We start from the raw sequence: 19,896 nt of genomic DNA, 5'->3' as shown, positions 1-19,896 counted from the left end.
GAGATGCAGGCAGGAAGATGTGATAGGACCTTTGTGAGTGTGGATTGAGTACTGAGAGTAATGGAGAGCCACTGAAGGTTTCCAGGAGCACACAGACGTGCTCAGACTGGTGTTTGAGGAAGATGGAATATGTGTTATTGCTTAGAGGAAGGCAAGGGTATAAGCAAGGAGACTTTTTGTTATTATTGTCATTTAACCATTTTTAAATGTACAGTTTATTGGCATTAATTATTCACAATGTTGTGCAGCCATCACCACCATCCATTTCCAAAACTCTTTTCTCACCCCAAACAGAATCTCTGTAATCATTAAGCAATAACTTACCCCTCTCTCCCCCAGCTCCTAGTAAACTCTTACCTACTTCCTATCTCTATAAATTTGCCTATTCTCTAGAATATGAAATATCTATATTTCATATGAATGGAATCACACAATATTTGTCCTTTGTATCTGGCTTATTTTACTTAGCATGTTTTCAAGGGTCATTGATATTGTAGCATGTATCAAAGCTCCATTCCTATTTAAAGCTGAATATATTCCATCGTATGTATATACCACGTTTCATTTATCCATTCATCTGGTGATGAACAGTTGAGTTGTCTCCACATTTCGGCTATTGTGAATAATGATGCAATGAATGCTGGCATACAAGTATCTGTTTGAGACTTTGTTTTTTACTCTTTGAGGTATATACCTAGCACTTGAGTGGAACTTCTGGGTTATAAGGTAATTCTGTGTTTATCTTTTTATGAATCACCAAAGTGCACCATTTTTTATTCCCCCAAGGAATACACAAAGGGGGAAGAAAACTCTTTAGGAAAAAAAATCGAGTACAGAAATTTTCTGTGGGTATGGCTGCAAATAAAAATGAAGGGAAAGATCTCAGGTTTACAAAATAAGAGTAAAGAGAACTTGGTGGTCAATTGTGTGGTCAAATGAGAGTGACTGGGCTGCAGTGGGGTGAGAGGCTGTTGAATAGGTTTGAAGATAAAGCAAAATCTGTCATTTTCACAAGGTTTTAAGCTTCAGCTACTGAGGAAGATGATGGTGGAAGTTACAGAGAACTGGTAAGGGTCAGGGAAGGAGATAAGGAGTTAATATTAATTCAGCCTTAGACCTATTGGAGTTTGACGTGTTTACGAGGCATACGTATTAGTCTGTTTTCACACTGCTAATAAAGACATATTCAAGACTGGATAATTTATAAAGAAAAACAGGTTTGATGGAATCACAGTTCCACATGGTTGAGGAGGCCTCACAATCATGGTAGAAGGCAAAGGAGCAACAAAGGCATGTCTTACATGGTGGCAGGCAAGAGAGCGTGTGTAGGGAAACTGCCCTTTAGGAAACCATCGGATCTCATGAGACTTATTCACTATCATGAGAACAGCATGGGAAAAACCTGCCCCTATGATTAAACTACTTCCCACTGGGTCCTTCCCACAACAGGTGGGGATTATGGGAGCTACAATTCAAGATGAGATTTGGGTGGGGACACACCCAAATCATATCAGCATATAAGTGAGTCAGTTTGGGTGATCAGTAGGGAGGTTTGGGAGGTAGTCAGGGAAGTAATTAAAAAGGACTCAGTTGGTATTACATGCAAGGAATGAGGGCAAAATCACAGAGGCTTCCAAGGGCACCAGGAAGAGTGAGGGTGAATCCCTGAGTGTTTCAGGGCTGGAAGAAAAAAGAAATAAGACCACAAAATTATTTGAGAAGGAAACCAGAAGAAAGACATGTTAGTGATTTTTAAGGAGTGAGGAAGAACCCAGGCCATGGTCTTCCCCATCAACTGCTCTCTCACCACCATTCTCAACTCTCTTGCATTATTCTTCTTCATCACACTCAGCTGGCATACCTTCTCCTTGAATGAATCCTTGAAGAGAAACCATAGGCTGTGTAGGCAGTCCATTATAAATTCATGGCTTCATACTTCAGCTGAGCCCTCAATACAAACTTATCCTTGCTTATTCTCATTCTTCAGTGTCTGTTTAGAACATTCAACTCTCCTCCAACCCTTAAATTCGCCCTGCTGCCCAATACCAGCAGAATTCACTGATTCACAAACGGAACACACATGTTTTGAGTTCCTAGCCTCAAACTGTATTCAGTGCCTATTTTACAGAGAAAATAGAACACATCAGAAGAGCTTTCTATCTTAGCACTCATTCTTTCCTGCTTTCCTATTATGATAATGAAAGCACTGCTCTTGCTCTGATCTAGGCTAACTCCTCTATCTTTGCCCTAGAGGTCCCATTCCCATCCCATTGGTCCCAGTGTCTTCAGCTTCTGGGTCACCCCTAATGTCTTCCCATCACTATTTAAATATACTCATGTCTACAGTTACACCCATATGGCTTCCCTCCAAACTCCTATCCTCTTCAGCTCTCTCTCCTCCCTGTCCCAATCATACTTCCCAAGAGAGTTGTGCACATTCACTGTCTTCACTTCTTCCTCTCTTCTAAATCCCTGGTCCATTCATTTCACTCAAGCCTTTCCAGATAAACTCATCAATGACCTGCTGGTTGATAAATTCAGTAGATATTTTTCAGTCATCTTTCTTGACGTTACTGATCACTTTCTTCTTCTAGAAACACACTTCCTTCTGGCTTTGTTTTCCAAGTGAAGACTAACATCTTGCCTCACTCTTAACAGATCTGCCCTCTAATTTAGTAATAAAATAGATCCCATCTTCCTCTGATAGCTCCTGCCCTTTCTCATATTCATTCTGGGCCAAGCTTCTTGAAAGAGTAGTCTCAACTTTCTCTCTTCTCGTTATACTTTAGTCTTTACCAGCTTACTCTCTTGCAGCGGAAGATATTGTCGACCGTTTCTGTTCCTGAAAAACTCTATTACTTTGGCTTACTTTTTTTAAAAAAGCACCCACTTTGTGTTTCTCATTCCCTGGCCTCTTCTCTATGTCTCTTGCCACTTTTTCACCTTCCATTGCCTTATTTGTTTGTAGTTTCCCAGAACTAGGGACAGTGATGACTATGAGAGTGCATTTTCCTTAGGGTTGTTTTGAGCATTTAATGAAATAACACAGCTATGAGTCAGTTTTAGCTGACTGGCTCCTTGGAGAAGTTGAGTTTAAATGTTGTTAATTTCTTGATTTTTTTTTTCAAGAGAACCCAGAATTCTATTTGAAATATTTTGATTTTTAAGGTTAGTAATAAGTTTGAAAAGAAAGTGCATATGTTGAAAAACAAGCCAGAATTCGCCCAGATGGCCATCAGTTTGCAATCACTCATGTAGGGTATTTAGATAGCAGTGAATGATTCTTGTGTGCATCTTGGGGTTTGCAAGGACTATTTCTGGGGATTCATCTTGACTGTACCCCAAGCACCTGGCACGGTATCCTGCACATAAATATCATTGAATGAATGAGTTTCATGAACATCTTTTTTATTTTTTAATTAACAAACAGGGTCTCACTATGTCACTCAGGCTCAAGTGCAGTGGCACAATCATAGTTCACTGTAACCTTAAACTCCTTGGCTCAAGCGATCCTCCTGCCTCAGCCTCCTGAGTAGCTGGGACTACAGGCATGTGCCACCACACCCCACTATTTTTTTTTTCCTTTTTGTAGAGACAGGGTCTTGAACTTCTGGCCTCACACAATTCTCCCTCCTCAACCTCCTAAAGTGCTGAGATTATAGGCATGAGTCACTGTACCTGGCCCAAACATTTCCTTTTATAGTTAAATTTCTTCACTGTTATTTAATCTAATGGTTGGCAAAACCTTTTGGTTTCATTCTTAGTTTCTGCTAAAGGTCTGCTATTGGCATTTCCCAGCTGTTAAGTGTTGCTATTCCTAGTAGTTTGCTTTAAGATTTGTTTCGAAATATTCTGGATACTTTCTGCTTTTGTCAGACATAGGTCATCACACTCCCTTAACTGTCTTATCATTTTTGTTTTCTGGCACCACCCTTTTCTACAACATAACATTCCTAGTGCATGGAAAATAGTTTCACAGTCTAATGAATAGTCCAGAATTGTTTCTTTCCCATCAGAGTATCTTCCTTAAACTGTACAGCATAATAATGGAGATGAAGATGGTTGTTTCTAATATTGCATCCATTCTTTCAAAGGTAAGACATTGAAAAAAAATTCATTGAGAGCATACTTGTGTGCCTGGCATAAAGAAGAAAAGACAAAATACGATCTTCTATTTCAAGGCAAGTAAAACAGATGGTAATGGTATAATGTAATATGTGTTATAAAGACAAAGAAATACACACAGGAGAGGCAGTTGGCCACGTGGCTAAGAACACAGGTTCTGAAGCAGACTTCCCATGTTCTAAGCTCAGCAAGACTACTTACTAGCTGTTTGAGCATATTACTTAATATCCTTGTGGCTTGGTTTTCTCATCTATAAAATGGGGTAGTAAAAGAAGCTACCTCATAGATTATAAAGATATAACTAAATTAATGTGTGTAAAATGCTTAGAACAGTGTCTGGCATTAAGTAAGCACTCAATAAATGTTACCTGTTACCCACAGGTACTCACTGGCATTAAGTAAGCAATCAATAAATGTTACCTACAGTGGATGCCCCATGTGTATGGTTGGTGTGTGGAGGTAGCTAGATAAGGAGAAATAAAGTCAGGAAGATTTTTCTAAGGTAATTATTGATTCAAATCTGGGAGATTTATTTCCTCAACAAATATTTACTGGGCATTTACTATGCACCAAGTATTAGATATTTAAGTGTAAAGTAATAGGGGTTGGAAATATAGAAGGAAAACTTCCCACGCAATGCAAACAGCAGGTTCAAAGTCACAAAGATGTGAGAAGGCAAGGCGAGTTCTTGGAAGGTGACTTCTTGGCGAATTCAATGTGACAGGGAATAGGGTGAGAGTTGAAGAGGAGCAATAAATGACAAGAGAAATAAGTGGAGGCAAGGATGTCTGTTTATAGGCAGTCTTGCATATCATACTATGGCATTTGAAATTTATTCTGTAAACACAAGGAGCCAAAGAAGGGTTTAATCAGGGGAGTGATGTGATCAAATTTGTGTTCTTAAAACACGATTCTGGTGATAGCATTAATCTGAGCAAAGTCAGTTTTCTTTAGGTATGGGACAGTTTTCTATGCAAACCAAAACTAATGGGTTTTGAAGTAAAAGCACTTAAAAATTAAGAAGTAAGAGTGAGTTTTCCAAATCTGCAGTAAAATACTACTTTGATTTGGAACATGTAGTATTGATCACAGATCAAACCTGTGCAAAAAAGAAGATCACAAACAGAAACATGGGACACTCTGAGTGAAACAACCAACTCTACCAGTCTGGCCCTTCTAAGATCTATCTCATAACCCTTGTATGCCTCATTAATTCCCTTAGCAAACGAACATTTATTGCACCAGACACTGCTTCAAGCACTTGGTATACGACAAAGAACAACAATAACAACAACAACAACAAAAGCCCACAAAAGATTCCTGCCCTCTGGAAGCTTGCATTTCTCTGAGATATAGATAATAAACACTAAACATACTAAGTAAATTACATGATATATTAGAAGGAGATAAGTGTTATCGAAATAAAACAGAGTAAGGAAAATTGGGAGCGTGCATTTATGATAGGAACCAAAAGAGGCTAACGAGTTGTAAGTGGATGATTTCAGCAAGGAATGAAAGGAACTGCAAAGCCCTCTGCGTGTAGAATTCATGACAAACTCTATGGTGGGGGCAAAGTCCTGTCGCTGCACATGGGTCTCAGCTGCAAAAAGAGAGTAGCCATGAAAAACTGTGTGTGTATATGCACACATACATAAACACAATAATAGATGATTTACAAATCATACATGTGATTTATACGTGTGTGTGATTTATACGTGTGTGTGATTTATAAAGCCTATGTAAGCCTACTTTAAACAGTGTGAGGTGGACAAGGCTTAAAACGGGCTGGAACATTTTCCCCCTATTATTTCCACAATAAACCATTCCTGGGCATGGTGGTGATGTGTGCGCGCGCGAGTGTGTGTTGGACAGCATCCCTTCCTTGGAACAGAGCCGGCCAGAGCCCTATTCTTCTACAACCTGTCCTAATAACAGCCTAACCTGGCAGGAACCTCGATTTTTTTCTTCTTACCACAAAAGCAAACCAAACCCCTTCCACAACCTAATATCATAGCGTGGTGTCCTTCCTCACTAATCCGCCACTGCTTCTCTAGTCCTGACTCCAAGGGAAGAATGCCATCTACCGAATCATCCGTACCAGTCAACCAGCCCCGCAAAGTGCAGCAACACTCAGCTCAACGCGGGTCAGCTCCAAATCCTCTCCCTCTGATTATTCTTTGGCCTTTAAAATATTTTTGCCTCTATTTGGGCTGACAGGAAGTTATGCTCTCGGCGCAGATATCTGATAAACACTTCCACATATTGTAGCCTTCTCAATAGCTTAGCCAAATTTCGGCGTCCTCGCTCTGTCTGCATTTTCCTTCATTGCTCTTTCACGTTTGGAATGCCCCCGTCTCTGCAGCCTGCAGACAGCGGAAACCGCGGGTGCAAATGTGCAGGGGCCGCTGACATGACCGGCTGCAGAAGCCCACTCAGGGTTACCCGAACAGGCTAGCGTTCGGGATTGCACAAGAGGTCAGGCGATGCTGTGGGCTTCCAAATTTGTACAGCTGCGACACTCTGCGACGTGCCACCCTATCCCCAGTGGGGTGGGGTGGGGGATTCCCTCCGCAGTCCGCTGAAAGCGAGGCAGGAATCACTGCAACTCCTCTGCTCAGGCTGAGGTCGCCACCGCTCCGCGGATGCACGCGCTGCAGGGGCGCCTTCCGCCGCGGGCACGGCGCGGGAAGGGATGGGGTCTGGTGGGAGTGGGCAGGTGGCGGGAGAGGCGCGTGTCCGTGCACTAGAGGCCCCCGTGCGTGACACAGGCCGATGAGCTCCTGCGGGCTGCACCCACGCGGAGTCACAGACCGAAAAGGTCAGCCGGTGGCCGGTGTGCTAACATATATAGAGAGACGCCCGCCAGGCGCGCCGCAGGCTGGGACGAGGCTAGGAGGGCCCAGGCTGGAGGAGGGCTGAGGAGGGCTGCGGGGGCGGGCCCCGGCGCAGGGCGCCCGGAGCGGAGGGGGCGGGCCCGAGGCGGGGCGGGCCGCGGCGCTGACGGGCTGTCGCCGCTGCACTCGCCTCCAGCCCGCGGTGTCGAGCGCAGGCGGAGGTACATGGCCCCGACGGGAGGCGCGCGGCGAGCACCCGGAGCTCGGCTCCCTGCCTGAGCACGGCAGCCGCGCCTCCGCCCGCGCGTCCTCGCCCCTCCGGCCGGCAGCCCGCGGACATGATCGTGTAGCCTCCTCCTGGGCTGGGATTTGTTTGAAGATTTTCTTCATGGAAGCGATGTCCCCCCAGCAGGAGACTCTAGGGGGACAGCCGGGGCGCTCCTCTTCCCTGACAGGAGTGTCTCGGCTCGCGGGAGGCAGCTGCACCAAGAAGGTGAGGACGCTGAGCGGGGGCCCGTGCCCTCCGCCGCCGCAGCCCCCACTGCCGGCGCGCGCCCTCCGCGCCCGCCACAGCAGCGCGCTAGGCGGACGCCGCGGGAATTTGACGCTCGAGGCTCGCGGCCCCTAATGAGAGTCCCAGAACACTTCCCGCCCTTGACGGCCAGCGGCAGCGCCGCCGCCTCCCGCAGAGCGCCCGCTTCTCCGTTTCTAGAGCCTTAGTCTCTCCTCGAGCGACCTCGCAGCCTCCCTCCCGTCTCCATCCGCCGCCGGTTCTGCAGCCCGGCTCCTCCCTCAGTCTAGGCGCGCGGGCTGTAGTGGGCGATCGCCTTTCCCCGACCCCTCGCCGTGCCCCTGGGCCTCCCGAAGTGGCCTGGGCGAGCACTGACTGCCCTTTGGCGGTGTCAGCCCCAAAGTCAGGGCCGGCGATGTCTGCCCGGGAGCGGCAGCCGGCGCTGAAGAAGGTAGGCAGCGGGGCTGCGGCGCTGGTGGGCTCGGCCCCCTCACCTGCCCGCCGAGGCGCGGCTGCTCCATAGCAGTTTTCGGGGGGCAGATATGGGGAGTACTGCCCCCCACACCAGGGTCCTGGATGATTCCGGGTCTCCCAGGTGGGGGTCACAGTTTGAGGGGCGACTGTGGATGATAACGCTCGACACTACGGGGACATGTAGGTTCGGCTGGGCCTAGAACCGAGCAGGGTGGGGGCGGGTGGGCTGTGGTTGGGGGTCCTGAGGGCTGAGGTGGGGGACCTTCTCCCTGCACTGGTCCCTGGCCCCTGGGACTCTGGCCGGGCTGGATAGGGATCCGGGTGTCGGTGTGGGCGTGGGGGCAGCGCGTGTTCCCTGTCAAAGCTGGGAGAGGGATGCAGGTGACAACTTGTAGCGTTCCATTCCGATAAACACGGCCGCTGTGCTGCGGGAGGATTCCGATCCGGGTCAGGTTTCGCTGGAACGGTTCCCTGAGCAAGTGCACGTGGGCCGCGGGCTGCCGGCCTCTGCCGTTTCGCTCCCTGAGGAATTGATTTGGGTGTTTCTAGCCCTGTCTGCCTGTCCCCCGCCTCCCCACCCCCGCTTCCAGCATAAGACTTTCCGATATTTTGCCTTTTTTTTTTTTTTTGCCTTGTCTTAGTGGTGCCCTTCCAGCTTTTCTGGAAACAAGTTGCGATTAGAGGCATCTTCTAGCTTTTCCTTAAGAAATATCTTAAGGGATTGCATTTGTTTCATTAGAGACTTAAAGGGGTTACGCAGGTTCCCTGCTTGTCTTGATTTTACTGCCTTTCATAAATCTTCCCACCAGGATCTTAGGTTGGCTAGAGGTCAGTTGAAGAGAGGTGATCGGTGTGCCGAGTATAGAAATGTGTGGGAGTTCCCAAGGACCTTGACCGTGTCACGGAGCCATCTAGGGGTGTCCGTGAACTTGATGATGTATGGGCTGTAGTGCCAGCTCAGCCTTTGATGTATTGAGGCTGCGGTTTGTCCTTGTCGCTTTTCCCCTTCGGAGATGGAGGGAGTGTGTGTGTGTGTAGTCAAGTCTTCCCAAATAAAACGTGAATTTATCAGGCTAGCCCTACATTTACTGACATAAATTTTAAAACTTAAAGCATTTTATTTTTGTAAACGTAAGGAATTGGAAGAAAATCAAAGATTTATTTTTCTGAACAGTTTTTTCTTTTTTTCTTTTTTTTTTACTAAGGGTATAACACTGCCAAAGGGAGGAAGCATTAAAGAGGAGCTTTATTATCATTTATCAAGTAATACTTGTCCAATAAATGAAGGGTTGCTTCGCTCTTTTCCCACATTCTTTTTACTTATCATAGCCACCGTCCTTAAGATGCTGTCGTTTGTTATGAAACTTAACAGGTTCACACATTAACAAACCAGTACCTACCTTTCCAACATCGTTGGGAAGATTAAATGTGAAATTCAGTGAATAATGACATATAATAGACATTTAATAAATGTTAGCACTTACTGTTTGCAACATCCCTATATCTGTAATTCATACCTTTGTGTCCCAGTTGTTCAAGCCAAAAATCTAGGATTCGTTTTCAACTCATTTCCTCTCTCTGCACCAACCAATCCATCAGGGAAGCTATTGTCAATCCGAACGTGTCTTGAATTTCTCCACTTCATCTCCACTGTTGCCAGTGTAGTCCAAGCCAAGCCGCCATCTCTCACTTGTACCTTTGCAGAAATGTCTTAACTTGCCTAACACCTTTCTTGCCCTTCTTTGATCCAGTCACCACTTTGCACCAGAATAATCTTTTAAAATGTAAATTAATCATGTTGCTTACCTGCTTAAAATCCTGCAGTGGCTTTTCATCCATTTATAATAAAATTCAGACCCCTTTTTCTTGGCCCTGTCTACTTCTGCCACCTCATCTATGCATCCCCCCCTTGTTTGTGTATTCTCCAACCACATGGGCCTTCTTCCTCTTCATATTTCAAGTCATCAAATTCATTCTTATTTTGAGGCCTTGATGGTGTTTCTCTGTGCTTCAGCCCCAGGTCTTTGCAGTCCTGACTTTCATATTATTGTCAGATCGTAGGTTCTAGCAGAGGCCTGCCATTGACTACCTAAGTGGAAGTGCTCCTCAGTCATTCTCTATACCTTCTGCTTTATTGTCATCTTAGCATTCATCCTGGCCTGATATTTTCTTATTTACTTGCTTGTTATCTGTTACCCACATCTGTCACCAGATTGAAAACTATGATAATAGGGACCTTATCTGTATTGCTTAGGGCTGCCTCTCCAGCACCTAGAATAGTGTCTGCTATATATTAGATTTTCCGTAAATATTAGTTGGGTTATGTACAGCAGTGAACAGGACAGATATGGCCCCGTCCTCAGAATTTATGGCTCAGAGCAGGGTCAGCAAACCTTTATTTAAAGGACCAGATACTAAATATTTAAGGTTTGTAGGCCCTTTGTTACAGGCTACTCAGTTCTGCCATTATAGTGCTAAAGCAGCCATAGACAATGAAGAAATGAATGGGCATAGCTGTGTTGTAATAAAACTTCGTTTAGAGAAACAAGTGGTGAGTCTCTGTGGTGTAGTTTCCTCTCTCCTAATTAGGGGAGAGTAGTGCCACTGAGTGGTACATTGTGTAATGATGGAACGCCTTTATCTACAGTGTCCATTCAGTAGCCACTAGCTACATGTAGCTATTGAGCTCTTGAAATGTGGCTGGCATGACTGAGAAACTAAACATTTTTTAACAGCTTCATTGAAGTATAATTGATATAGAATAAACTGCACATATTTAAAGTATATAAATTTAATAGTTTTGACATATATATACGCTTGTGAAAACATCTCCACAGTTTAGCTAAGGAATATATTCGTCATCCCCCAAAGTTTCCTCATGTCCCTTTCTAATTCCTTAATTCCCTCCCCATTCCCAGGCAACCACTAATCTGTTTTCTCTCACTGTAGGTTAATTCACACTTCCAAAGATTTTTTGTAAATGTAATCATACTTTATATTCTTTTTTTGTCTGGCTTGTTTCATTCAATACAATTACTTTGAGGTTTATCCATGGTTTTGCGTGTATCGATAGTTCATTTCATTGCTGAGCAGCATTCCATCATGTGACTAGACTACAATTTATTTATCCATTCATCTGTTGATGGGCATTTGGATTATCTCCAGTTTTAGGCTATCACAAAACTGCTGTGAACATTCATGTATAAGTCTTTGCATGGACTTCATTTTGGGGGAGTAAATACTTAGGTGTGGAATAGCTGGGTCATATTTTAGGTATATATTGAACTTTTTAAGAATCTGTCCATTGTTTTTTCCGAAGTGGTTTTATATTCCCCCTGGCAGTGCATATGAGTCCACCTACTCCAAATTTTCACCAGTACTTATTATTATCTGCCTTTTTGATTACAGTCATCTTAATGGATGTAAAGTGGTATCTAATGGTTTTGATTTGCATTTCCTCAATGATTAGTGATGTTGAGCATCTTTTCACGTGCTTATTTTTCATCCATATGTTATCTTTGGTGAAGTGTCTAAATATTTTGCCCAATTTTAATTGTGTTTTCTCCCAGTCTGTGACTTGTCTTTTTACTTTCTTAAGAGTATCTTTCAAAAGAACGGAAGTTCTTATTTTTGGTGAAATACAATTTGTCATTTTTTTTTTCTGTAAGCTTCTTAATTATAATCAACTTGAATTTAAATCTAAAGAGCCACATGTGTCTAGTGGCTACTGTATTGGACAGCATGGGTCAGAGGAAGAGACAAAAAAAAAAACAAAAAAATGAATAAATGGTGATAACTGTTATTAAAGGAACAAACATAACCCCGAATTAGACAAATGTGGTTGTTGAGTTAGATCATTCTGCATTAGGGTGTTCAGGGAAGGCCTTTTTTAAGTGTCCCTTAACTCTCTTATGGCTTAAAAAGACCATGCTATAAAAAGAAGTGGGAGCATTAAGTTCAAAGGTCCTGAGGTAGGTATGTTTGAGGAGCTAGCATGTAGATGCTGTAAATGAAGTCAGTCTCTTTATTTTATAGCCACATTTATTATTTTAATCTCAAGCAGAATTGCCTAGCTAGATCACTCACTTTTACTCACTAGTCAGAGGATTTCATTGTTTCCAAAAATCAAATCCACTCTCAGAAGACAAAGATTTTTCCATCACTGAGGCACTTCCAAAGAATATACAATAAATTTGTACAGTAATTCCTAAAAATTGAATTCTAAAATGTAATAGCATATAGATAAAGCATAGATAATACTTTAAGTTATTCTGGAATAATACATCCTTGAGGATATCCACATTTTCACGGAATAGTTTTAATGAAGTGGAAGCACATATTAGAATCATTTTAGTTAGGAATGATTTGTATCAGACTCAAATATTCTGACCTTTTGGTTTCATATGCTAATTGAAAAATCTTTAAATAGGATGAGTGTTGGAATGGGGGAAAAGAGACTTATAGGCCCAGAAAGCCAGGCAAGGGAAAATAATTTTAAAATAGCTCTAACATTTTTAAATGTAGCAGCTGCTGTTGTAAACTTCATTCTGCCTTTCCTTTCTAATTCTCTGGGTCCAAATCTGTTTATAACACCTCATGGTAGAACACCCCCAAGGGCTAACTTGGACCATGTGTGTGTCTTATACTGGGGCTTGAATTAAACATCTTAGTGAGTAAGCTTTAGTTTTACTCTTCAATACTGAGAAAAATATTATGCCCATAGTTAAACTAGTATCCTACTCAATTCTTATCTGGTGTTACTCACAAAATGAATTGCATGAAATCAGATACGTGAGATTGTGTTGGCAGGGAGGGTCCTAGAATTATAAAAATAAAATTAGATTAATCAGGAATGGCCTCTGTTATCCCTCATGTGACCTCTGAACTTCTGATTGGGCTTTGTTTCTTTGTATGCAAAATGGGGTAATGACCCCTATCCTGCACCTCTCACAAGGTTGGTTTTTATGGGTCATGAAAGGTAAATGGAAACACTTTGCAAAAGTGCAGGAGTTATTAGTATATCTTGCCATGTGAGAGTAGGTGTAAAGCAACAAAAGGAGTTTGAGTTTAAAAAATGTAACATCAGAACATGTACATGCATGTGAATGCATACCATCCTTTAAAGCAGTCATCATTGGAAGCCATAAATATCAAATATCATGAGGAGGAACTTGAATAAAAATACAAGGGTTGGCTATAACTTATAGAAGAATAAAGAAAATTTAAAAACCTCTTTAAGTGAATGCTGAACTATATTCAAAACACATCAATTATATGAGGTAGGTGTTAATTTTTTCCTAAAGAAGGAACCGAACCATATCAAGGCTTCAGTGTAGTAAGTGGCAAAACTGGAATTTGAATCCAGTTCTTCCAACTCCATTTCTCTTTTCAACGAGACTATCACTGCATTTGTTATTGTTTGTAACATAAGATACAGGGGAGAGTAGGTTTAAATTATATATAACCAGCTGAGAAAAGTACAGTTGAGGGCCTTTTCTCAATTGAAAAAAAGAGTATACATTCTTTGGAGAGTGGCATTTCTACCCTCTCTGTCTACCATTGAATGTTATGTTCACTGCTACCATTAGGTAAATATTAGGTAAACATTGACTTATAGTGACAATCAATGACACAATCACTGGTCTAATTACTTTGGTGATTTTTATGCCTTGGTGTCTGACATTTTCAGATGTTTTGTATAAGGCAGATGTACTTCAAGAGCCCTTAGCCAGGCCTAATCTCTATGCTGATACCTCAGCCTTGCTTGCTATTGGAAAGCTTGGCGTATTCTCCAGACAAACTCAGAAGAGTATATTTCAGAGTTATGTGTGGGTGCACTGAATCCTAAGCCTCAGATGATTCCACTGGAAAATCATGTGGAAACCCAGTTGAAACTCTCTCAACTCAGTTAACTTTTATATCACTGCTCCACTGAGTCTGGAGGAAAAAACTTTGTGTCCATAGTTATGCTCACTTAAAATGTGATTACATAGTGCATTTTACCATGGCAGAAGAAAAATTAATTTTTGTGACTCTAAAGTTCATAGACTACAATAAATTATAGTTTTATAAAATAAAAGTTAAGGATAATCTTCTTATACATGTGTAAAAAGTAATTATTAATTTTGAAGATTAAGTCCCCTAAGTTAAAATAGGCAGTTGGAATTCATAGACTGAAAGTTCACAAGTCATAGATACCTAAATAGTTAGTGCAGTTGTTGCTTTTAGTTCTAAGGTGAAGATTGTCATGAAGCAATTTATCACCCTCTATGCCTTCAGCATTCTCCCAGGTTATGATTTGGCGAAAGGGCGGCAGGACAAAAGGTGGAACATGTTCAGTGGATGGGGGAGAGCTGAGAAAACTGATGGTACCTACAGAAATGAAATCCTCTCCAATCAATAACTTAGAAGACTGAATTCTTTCACAGTTCTTACCTTTCCATCCAGGACTTGGTGGCTATTCTTTTCAAAGTAAAGGCATGTTATGCTTTATGGGACTACATACAACTTAACAAAAATATGTAATTGTAAAACTTGCCTTCCTAGAAGGTGTCTGTAGCTGAAAATATACTAGATTTCAACTTAAATTGCCACTAAAATACATTATAAAGTGTCACAAAAATAGGTATATAATATCAAAGTTATATGTGTGTACATAACACTTGTATACTCATAATATGCAGAGTGCTTTGAGGAAATATATATTTTTATGATTCAATGGAGTTTTATTACTCATACCCCTCATGTCTTCAGAGCATTTGGTATAAACCTTTAAAGTAAACTTTAAGTGAAGGGAAAGTTGCTCGCCTGTTCTGTTGGTACTTCAAGTGTTTAGGATCACAGGGATTCTAGAGGTCCTGATGTGTTCAGAAAGCCTGCAGAGAGAATGCTCAATTTGGTAGTGGCAACTACAACAGTTTTCTGAAACAAACTCGGATAGAGTTGATCTTTAGCTTTTATTTACTTACGGGAGACTCTGCCACAATGTGAGGCTGGAAAGGTAGCAGAGATGATTGCCTTCGGTCAACCATCAATAATGAGGCTTGTAGGCAATATAGCCCAGTTTATATTATATTTTATTTCAGTCTTATTTTCTTTATCTAGGACAAGTTTATGGTAGAAACATCTAACTGACAGCAGAAATAACCTCATCAGCACTGTAGGTCAGTGGTGTGCTGAGAGCAGCCTTGACCTAATTTTGACAGACACCTGTCACATGACACAACTGAAATGTAAAACTTGTTTTTGGATGTCTGGTCACTTGTGTGTGGACTCTGAAAATGGAATGTATGTGTGCCCCACATCAGCTCACATATCAAAGATCTGGAAAACGCAGCTGCTCTGTGGCCTTTTGCTTTCCTTATTTACCTGAGTCCTAATTTACACCTAGGAGAATGTTTTTATTTCCTCTCCTATCCCTACATTCACTCTTTTGAACCTCAGCTTTAACAATAGCCATCACCAGGTAACACTATGTCTGAATCTAGATAGACGTGGATCTGCTTTTTATTCTCATTTGATATGGCTGTCTGATTTTTACCATTATGGTTTTAGAATTTGATCACAGTACTTTTCCCCTCTGTGTTGAAGACAATGAGGGGCTACCGTAAGGCAAAGCTTCCCAACTGTTGCGGTTGTGTCTGACAATTAGCCTCTTGGCCTTCAGGCGAGTGGATGGATACTGGGGAGCCAGGTGCCCCTTTGTTTGACATAGAGTGTTATGGTTGTACAAATATCATTTTGTATGGAACATTATGTGAAAAATGTAGTGGAGCCCTGCCCTGTAAGAAACTATTAGGCAGAGAACATTGGTGATTGACTCTACCTACTCCAGGGTGCTGCTTAAAGATTATCATGACCAAAGGTTGAAACTTGTAGCTTTGCCAAAGAAGAAAAATCTAGCCAACGTGAAGACCCATAGTGATGCTCCAGAATCCTGCATGTGTGGGGATGGAGGCAAGGAAACAAAGAATAATGTATAAGGGAAATTCTAATATCCTTATATTTATTTATATACAGCACTTAACCACTTTAAAGTTTACTGTCTGTTACATTATCACAGTGCTTTTCATTTCAGAGGACTTTCATCCATATATATGAATGAATATATATGAATGAATCCATATATATGAATGAATATATATGAATGAATCCATATATATGAATGAATATATATATATAGTGAGTAGGGCAGGTATTGTGTCCATTTTAGAGAAAATCTGAGAAATTAAGTGGTAGAACTAGGGTCCAGAATTAAGGTCCAATGTCTCCTAGCCTAGTGCCCATTCTTCTGCATTACATAGATTATTATGTTTATTGTTGTATTTCAACATGGTAGTAGTCCTTCGGAAAGAGGAAAGAGCTGGAAAGTAAAATCAATTCTTTCTTCAGAAAGGAACATATATTCATTTACAGTAGTCTGTACTGTAATTACATTTATTTTAGCTAAATGTTTAAAGTGGTCCTGGTTGGGATGATTTATGGGTAAATAGAAGATCATATTTATCACAGACCAAACTGACAATAGCAGGAAGCTTCAGCTTACCTAGTAGTCAAAACCTTGCTGTGATAGCATGACCCAGAAGCAAGGTGCAAGGTTAAAAGTAATTCTCCTATTCTGTGAAGAAAGTCATTGGTAGCTTGATGGGGATGGCATTGAATCTATAATTACCTTGGGCAGTATGGCCATTTTCATGATATTGATTCTTCCTACCCATGAGCATGGAATGTTCTTCCATTTGTTTGTGTCCTCTTTTATTTCGTTGAGCAGTGGTTTATAGTTCTCCTTGAAGAGGTCCTTCACATTCCTCATAAGTTGGATTCCTAGGTATTTTATTCTCTTTGAAGCAATTGTGAATGGGAGTTCACTCATGATTTGGCTCTCTATTTGTCTGTTATTGGTATATAGGAATGCTTGTGATTTTCACACATTGATTTTGTATCCTGAGACTGCTGAAGTTGCTTATCAGCTTAAGGAGATTTTGGGCTGAGACAATGGAGTTTTCTAGATATACAATCATGTCATCTGCAAACAGGGACAATTTGACTTCCTCTTTTCCTAATTGAATACCCTTTATTTCCTTCTCCTGCCTAATTGCCCTGGCCAGAACTTCCAACACTATGTTGAATAGGAATGGTGAGAGAGGGCATCCCTGTCTTGTGCCAGTTTTCAAAGTGAATGCTTCCAATTTTTGCCCATTCAGTATGATATTGGCTGTGGGTTTGTCATAGATAGCTCTTATTATTTTGAGATACATCCCATCAATTCCTAATTTATTGAGAGTTTTTAGCATGAAGGGTTGTTGAATTTTGTCAAAGGCCTTTTCTACATCTATTGAGATAATCATGTGGTTTTTGTCTTTGGTTCTGTTTATATGCTGGATTAAATTTATTGATTTGCGTATATTGAACCAGCCTTGCATCCCAGGGATGAAGCCCACTTGATCATGGTGGATAAGCTTTTTGATGTGCTGCTGGATTCGGTTTGCCAGTATTTTATTGAGGATTTTTGCATCAGTGTTCATCAAGGATATTGGTCTTTTAAAGTTCATATGGAACCAAAAAAGAGCCCGCATCGCCAAGTCAATCCTAAGCCAAAAGAACAAAGCTGGAGGCATCACATTACCTGACTTCAAACTATACTACAAGGCTACAGTTACCAAAACAGCATGGTACTGGTACCCAAACAGAGATATAGATCAATGGAACAGAACAGAGCACTCAGAAATAACGCCGCATATCTACAACTATCTGATCTTTGACAAACCTGAGAAAAACAAGCAATGGGGAAAGGATTCCCTATTTAATAAATGGTGCTGGGAAAACTGGCTAGCCATATGTAGAAAGCTGAAACTGGATCTCTTCCTTACACCTTATACAAAAATCAATTCAAGATGGATTAAAGACTTAAACGTTAGACCTAAAACCATAAAAACCCTAGAAGAAAACCTGGGCATTACCATTCAGGACATAGGCATGGGCAAGGACTTCATGTCTAAAACACCAAAAGCAATGGCAACAAAAGCCAAAATTGACAAATGGGATTTAATTAAACTAAAGAGCTTCTGCACAGCAAAAGAAACTACCATCAGAGTGAACAGGCAACCTACAAAATGGGAGAAAATTTTCGCAACCTACTCATCTGACAAAGGGCTAATATCCAGAATCTACAATGAACTCAAACAAATTTACAAGAAAAAAACAACCCCATCAGAAAGTGGGCAAAGGACATGAACAGACACTTCTCAAAAGAAGACATTTATGCAGCCAAAAAACACATGAAAAAATGCTCACCATCACTGGCCATCAGAGAAATGCAAATCAAAACCACAATGAGATACCATCTCACACCAGTTAGAATGGCAATCATTAAAAAGTCAGGAAACAACAGGTGCTGGATAGGATGTGGAGAAATAGGAACACTTTTACACTGTTGGACTGTAAACTAGTTCAACCATTGTGGAAGTCAGTGTGGCGATTCCTCAGGGATCTAGAACTAGAAATACCATTTGACCCAGCCATCCCATTACTGGGTATGTACCCAAAGGACTATAAATCATGCTGCTATAAAGACACATGCACACATATGTTTATTGTGGCATTATTCACAATAGCAAAGACTTGGAACCAACCCAAATGTCCAACAATGATAGACTGGATTAAGAAAATGTGGCACATATACACCATGGAATACTATGCAGCCATAAAAAATGATGAGTTCATGTCCTTTGTAGGGACATGGATGAAATTGGAAATCATCATTCTCAGTAAACTGTTGCAAGAACAAAAAACCAAACACCGCATATTCTCACTCTTAGGTGGGAATTGAACAATGAGAACACATGGACACAGGAAGGGGAACATCACACTCTGGGGACTGTTGTGGGGTGGGGGGAGGGGGGAGGGATAGCACTGGAAGATATACCTAATGCTAGATGACAAGTTAGTGGGTGCAGCATACCAGCATGGCACATGTATACATATGTAACTAACCTGCACATTGTGCACATGTACCCTAAAACTTAAAGTATAATAATAATAAATAAAATAAAAAAGAAAGAAAAAAAAAAGTAATTATCTTTTTCCCTTACAGAGCCAGTGTCTTTGAAGTATAATTGTTCAGTGGCTTGGATACGTCTCCACAAGTAAATGCTACAGGCATGTAGGGAAGACAAGAAATACTTTAATGCTCACGAAATTGCACAGACTAGCCACAAAAGAATTAATAGTCAAGTTTGAATAAGCTAATTTGTTAATTTGATTACTTATTTTTTCTAGCCTTGAAAATTTAGAGTTCTATAAAAGCTTTCCCAGTGCCCTTATTTTAATACTATGCTTATTTTAAATGCTTGAAAGTGACTTCAGCATCCATAATTCAACTGAAATGCTTGATTTTTTTTCCTCATAAAGTGACTGGAACAAAACAAAGCATGAAAAATTGCAGTTCACCTCCAACTTTAATCTTTCATCCAGTTCCTTCCTTTTGATATGCTTTGTTTTTCTTTAATCTCTGTGAGAACTAATAATGAGCAGATTCAGAGTGATTTAGAGGTTCCAAAAATAGTACTATATCTCTTGGCTGTCATGAAGTTAAAATTCCAGTGAGAGCCTACATACAGGTTTTTATTTAAAAAGTGTTTTCTGCATTGTTATTGAAAATAAAACAACAAAAGTTTTTTTCTTCAGTTACCTATTTACAACTTCATTTTTCTACATAGGCACACTTGTATTACTACCTTAAAATCTCAGATATTGGATATGTTAATTCATTCACTTAATACACAACTATTGAGAATTTACTATGTGAAAACCCTAAGGAGGACACTGGAGGAATAGGGGAGGAATGGTGGCAAATCACAATAGACAGGAAGTAAGTGGGTAAGAAAAGATATGTCATGTAAATGGAAAACAAAAGTGAGCAGGAGTAGCCATCCTCATATCAGATAAAACAGG

At 41.1% G+C, this 19,896-nt stretch overlaps 1 protein-coding gene across 6 annotated transcripts in view, besides 4 other annotated features; it reads left to right on the top strand.

Annotated features, from left to right (window-relative positions):
- The window catches only part of ARHGAP20 (Rho GTPase activating protein 20), a 136,147-nt gene continuing 122,640 nt past the window's right edge, over positions 6,390–19,896 (top strand). For 2 of the 6 annotated variants that reach the window (NM_001258418.2, NM_001258416.2), the window contains exon 1: positions 6,390–6,600. Coding sequence is in view for 3 of the 6 variants with exons in the window: in NM_020809.4 (NP_065860.2) it covers positions 7,348–7,452 (105 nt within the window). In the remaining 3 variants the exon portion in view is untranslated. Of the gene's footprint in view, positions 6,601–6,850; positions 6,944–7,141; positions 7,453–7,753; positions 7,922–19,896 lie in introns of those variants that run through there. The other 4 variants (NM_020809.4, NM_001258417.2, NM_001384657.1 and 1 more) reach the window with 4 other exon arrangements.
- Positions 6,794–7,295: an enhancer, noted in NCBI's record as "H3K4me1 hESC enhancer chr11:110583007-110583508 (GRCh37/hg19 assembly coordinates)". NCBI's record gives its function as "activates a minimal SCP1, AML or CMV promoter by ChIP-STARR-seq in primed H9 embryonic stem cells {active_cell/tissue: H9 hESC(primed)}" and the evidence as "EXISTENCE:reporter gene assay evidence [ECO:0000049][PMID:30033119]".
- Positions 7,031–7,190: a silencer, noted in NCBI's record as "silent region_3893". NCBI's record gives its function as "represses an Ori minimal core promoter by ATAC-STARR-seq in GM12878 lymphoblastoid cells {active_cell/tissue: GM12878}" and the evidence as "EXISTENCE:reporter gene assay evidence [ECO:0000049][PMID:35858748]".
- Positions 7,211–7,270: a silencer, noted in NCBI's record as "silent region_3892". NCBI's record gives its function as "represses an Ori minimal core promoter by ATAC-STARR-seq in GM12878 lymphoblastoid cells {active_cell/tissue: GM12878}" and the evidence as "EXISTENCE:reporter gene assay evidence [ECO:0000049][PMID:35858748]".
- Positions 8,278–8,923: an enhancer, noted in NCBI's record as "H3K4me1 hESC enhancer chr11:110581379-110582024 (GRCh37/hg19 assembly coordinates)". NCBI's record gives its function as "activates a minimal SCP1, AML or CMV promoter by ChIP-STARR-seq in naive H9 embryonic stem cells {active_cell/tissue: H9 hESC(naive)}" and the evidence as "EXISTENCE:reporter gene assay evidence [ECO:0000049][PMID:30033119]".

The sequence above is a fragment of the Homo sapiens genome, chromosome 11 (genome assembly GCF_000001405.40).
Source record: "Homo sapiens chromosome 11, GRCh38.p14 Primary Assembly".
Lineage (NCBI taxonomy): Eukaryota > Metazoa > Chordata > Mammalia > Primates > Hominidae > Homo > Homo sapiens.
Note: the sequence above shows the minus strand (reverse complement) of the source record. Positions and strands in the feature narration are given on the sequence as shown.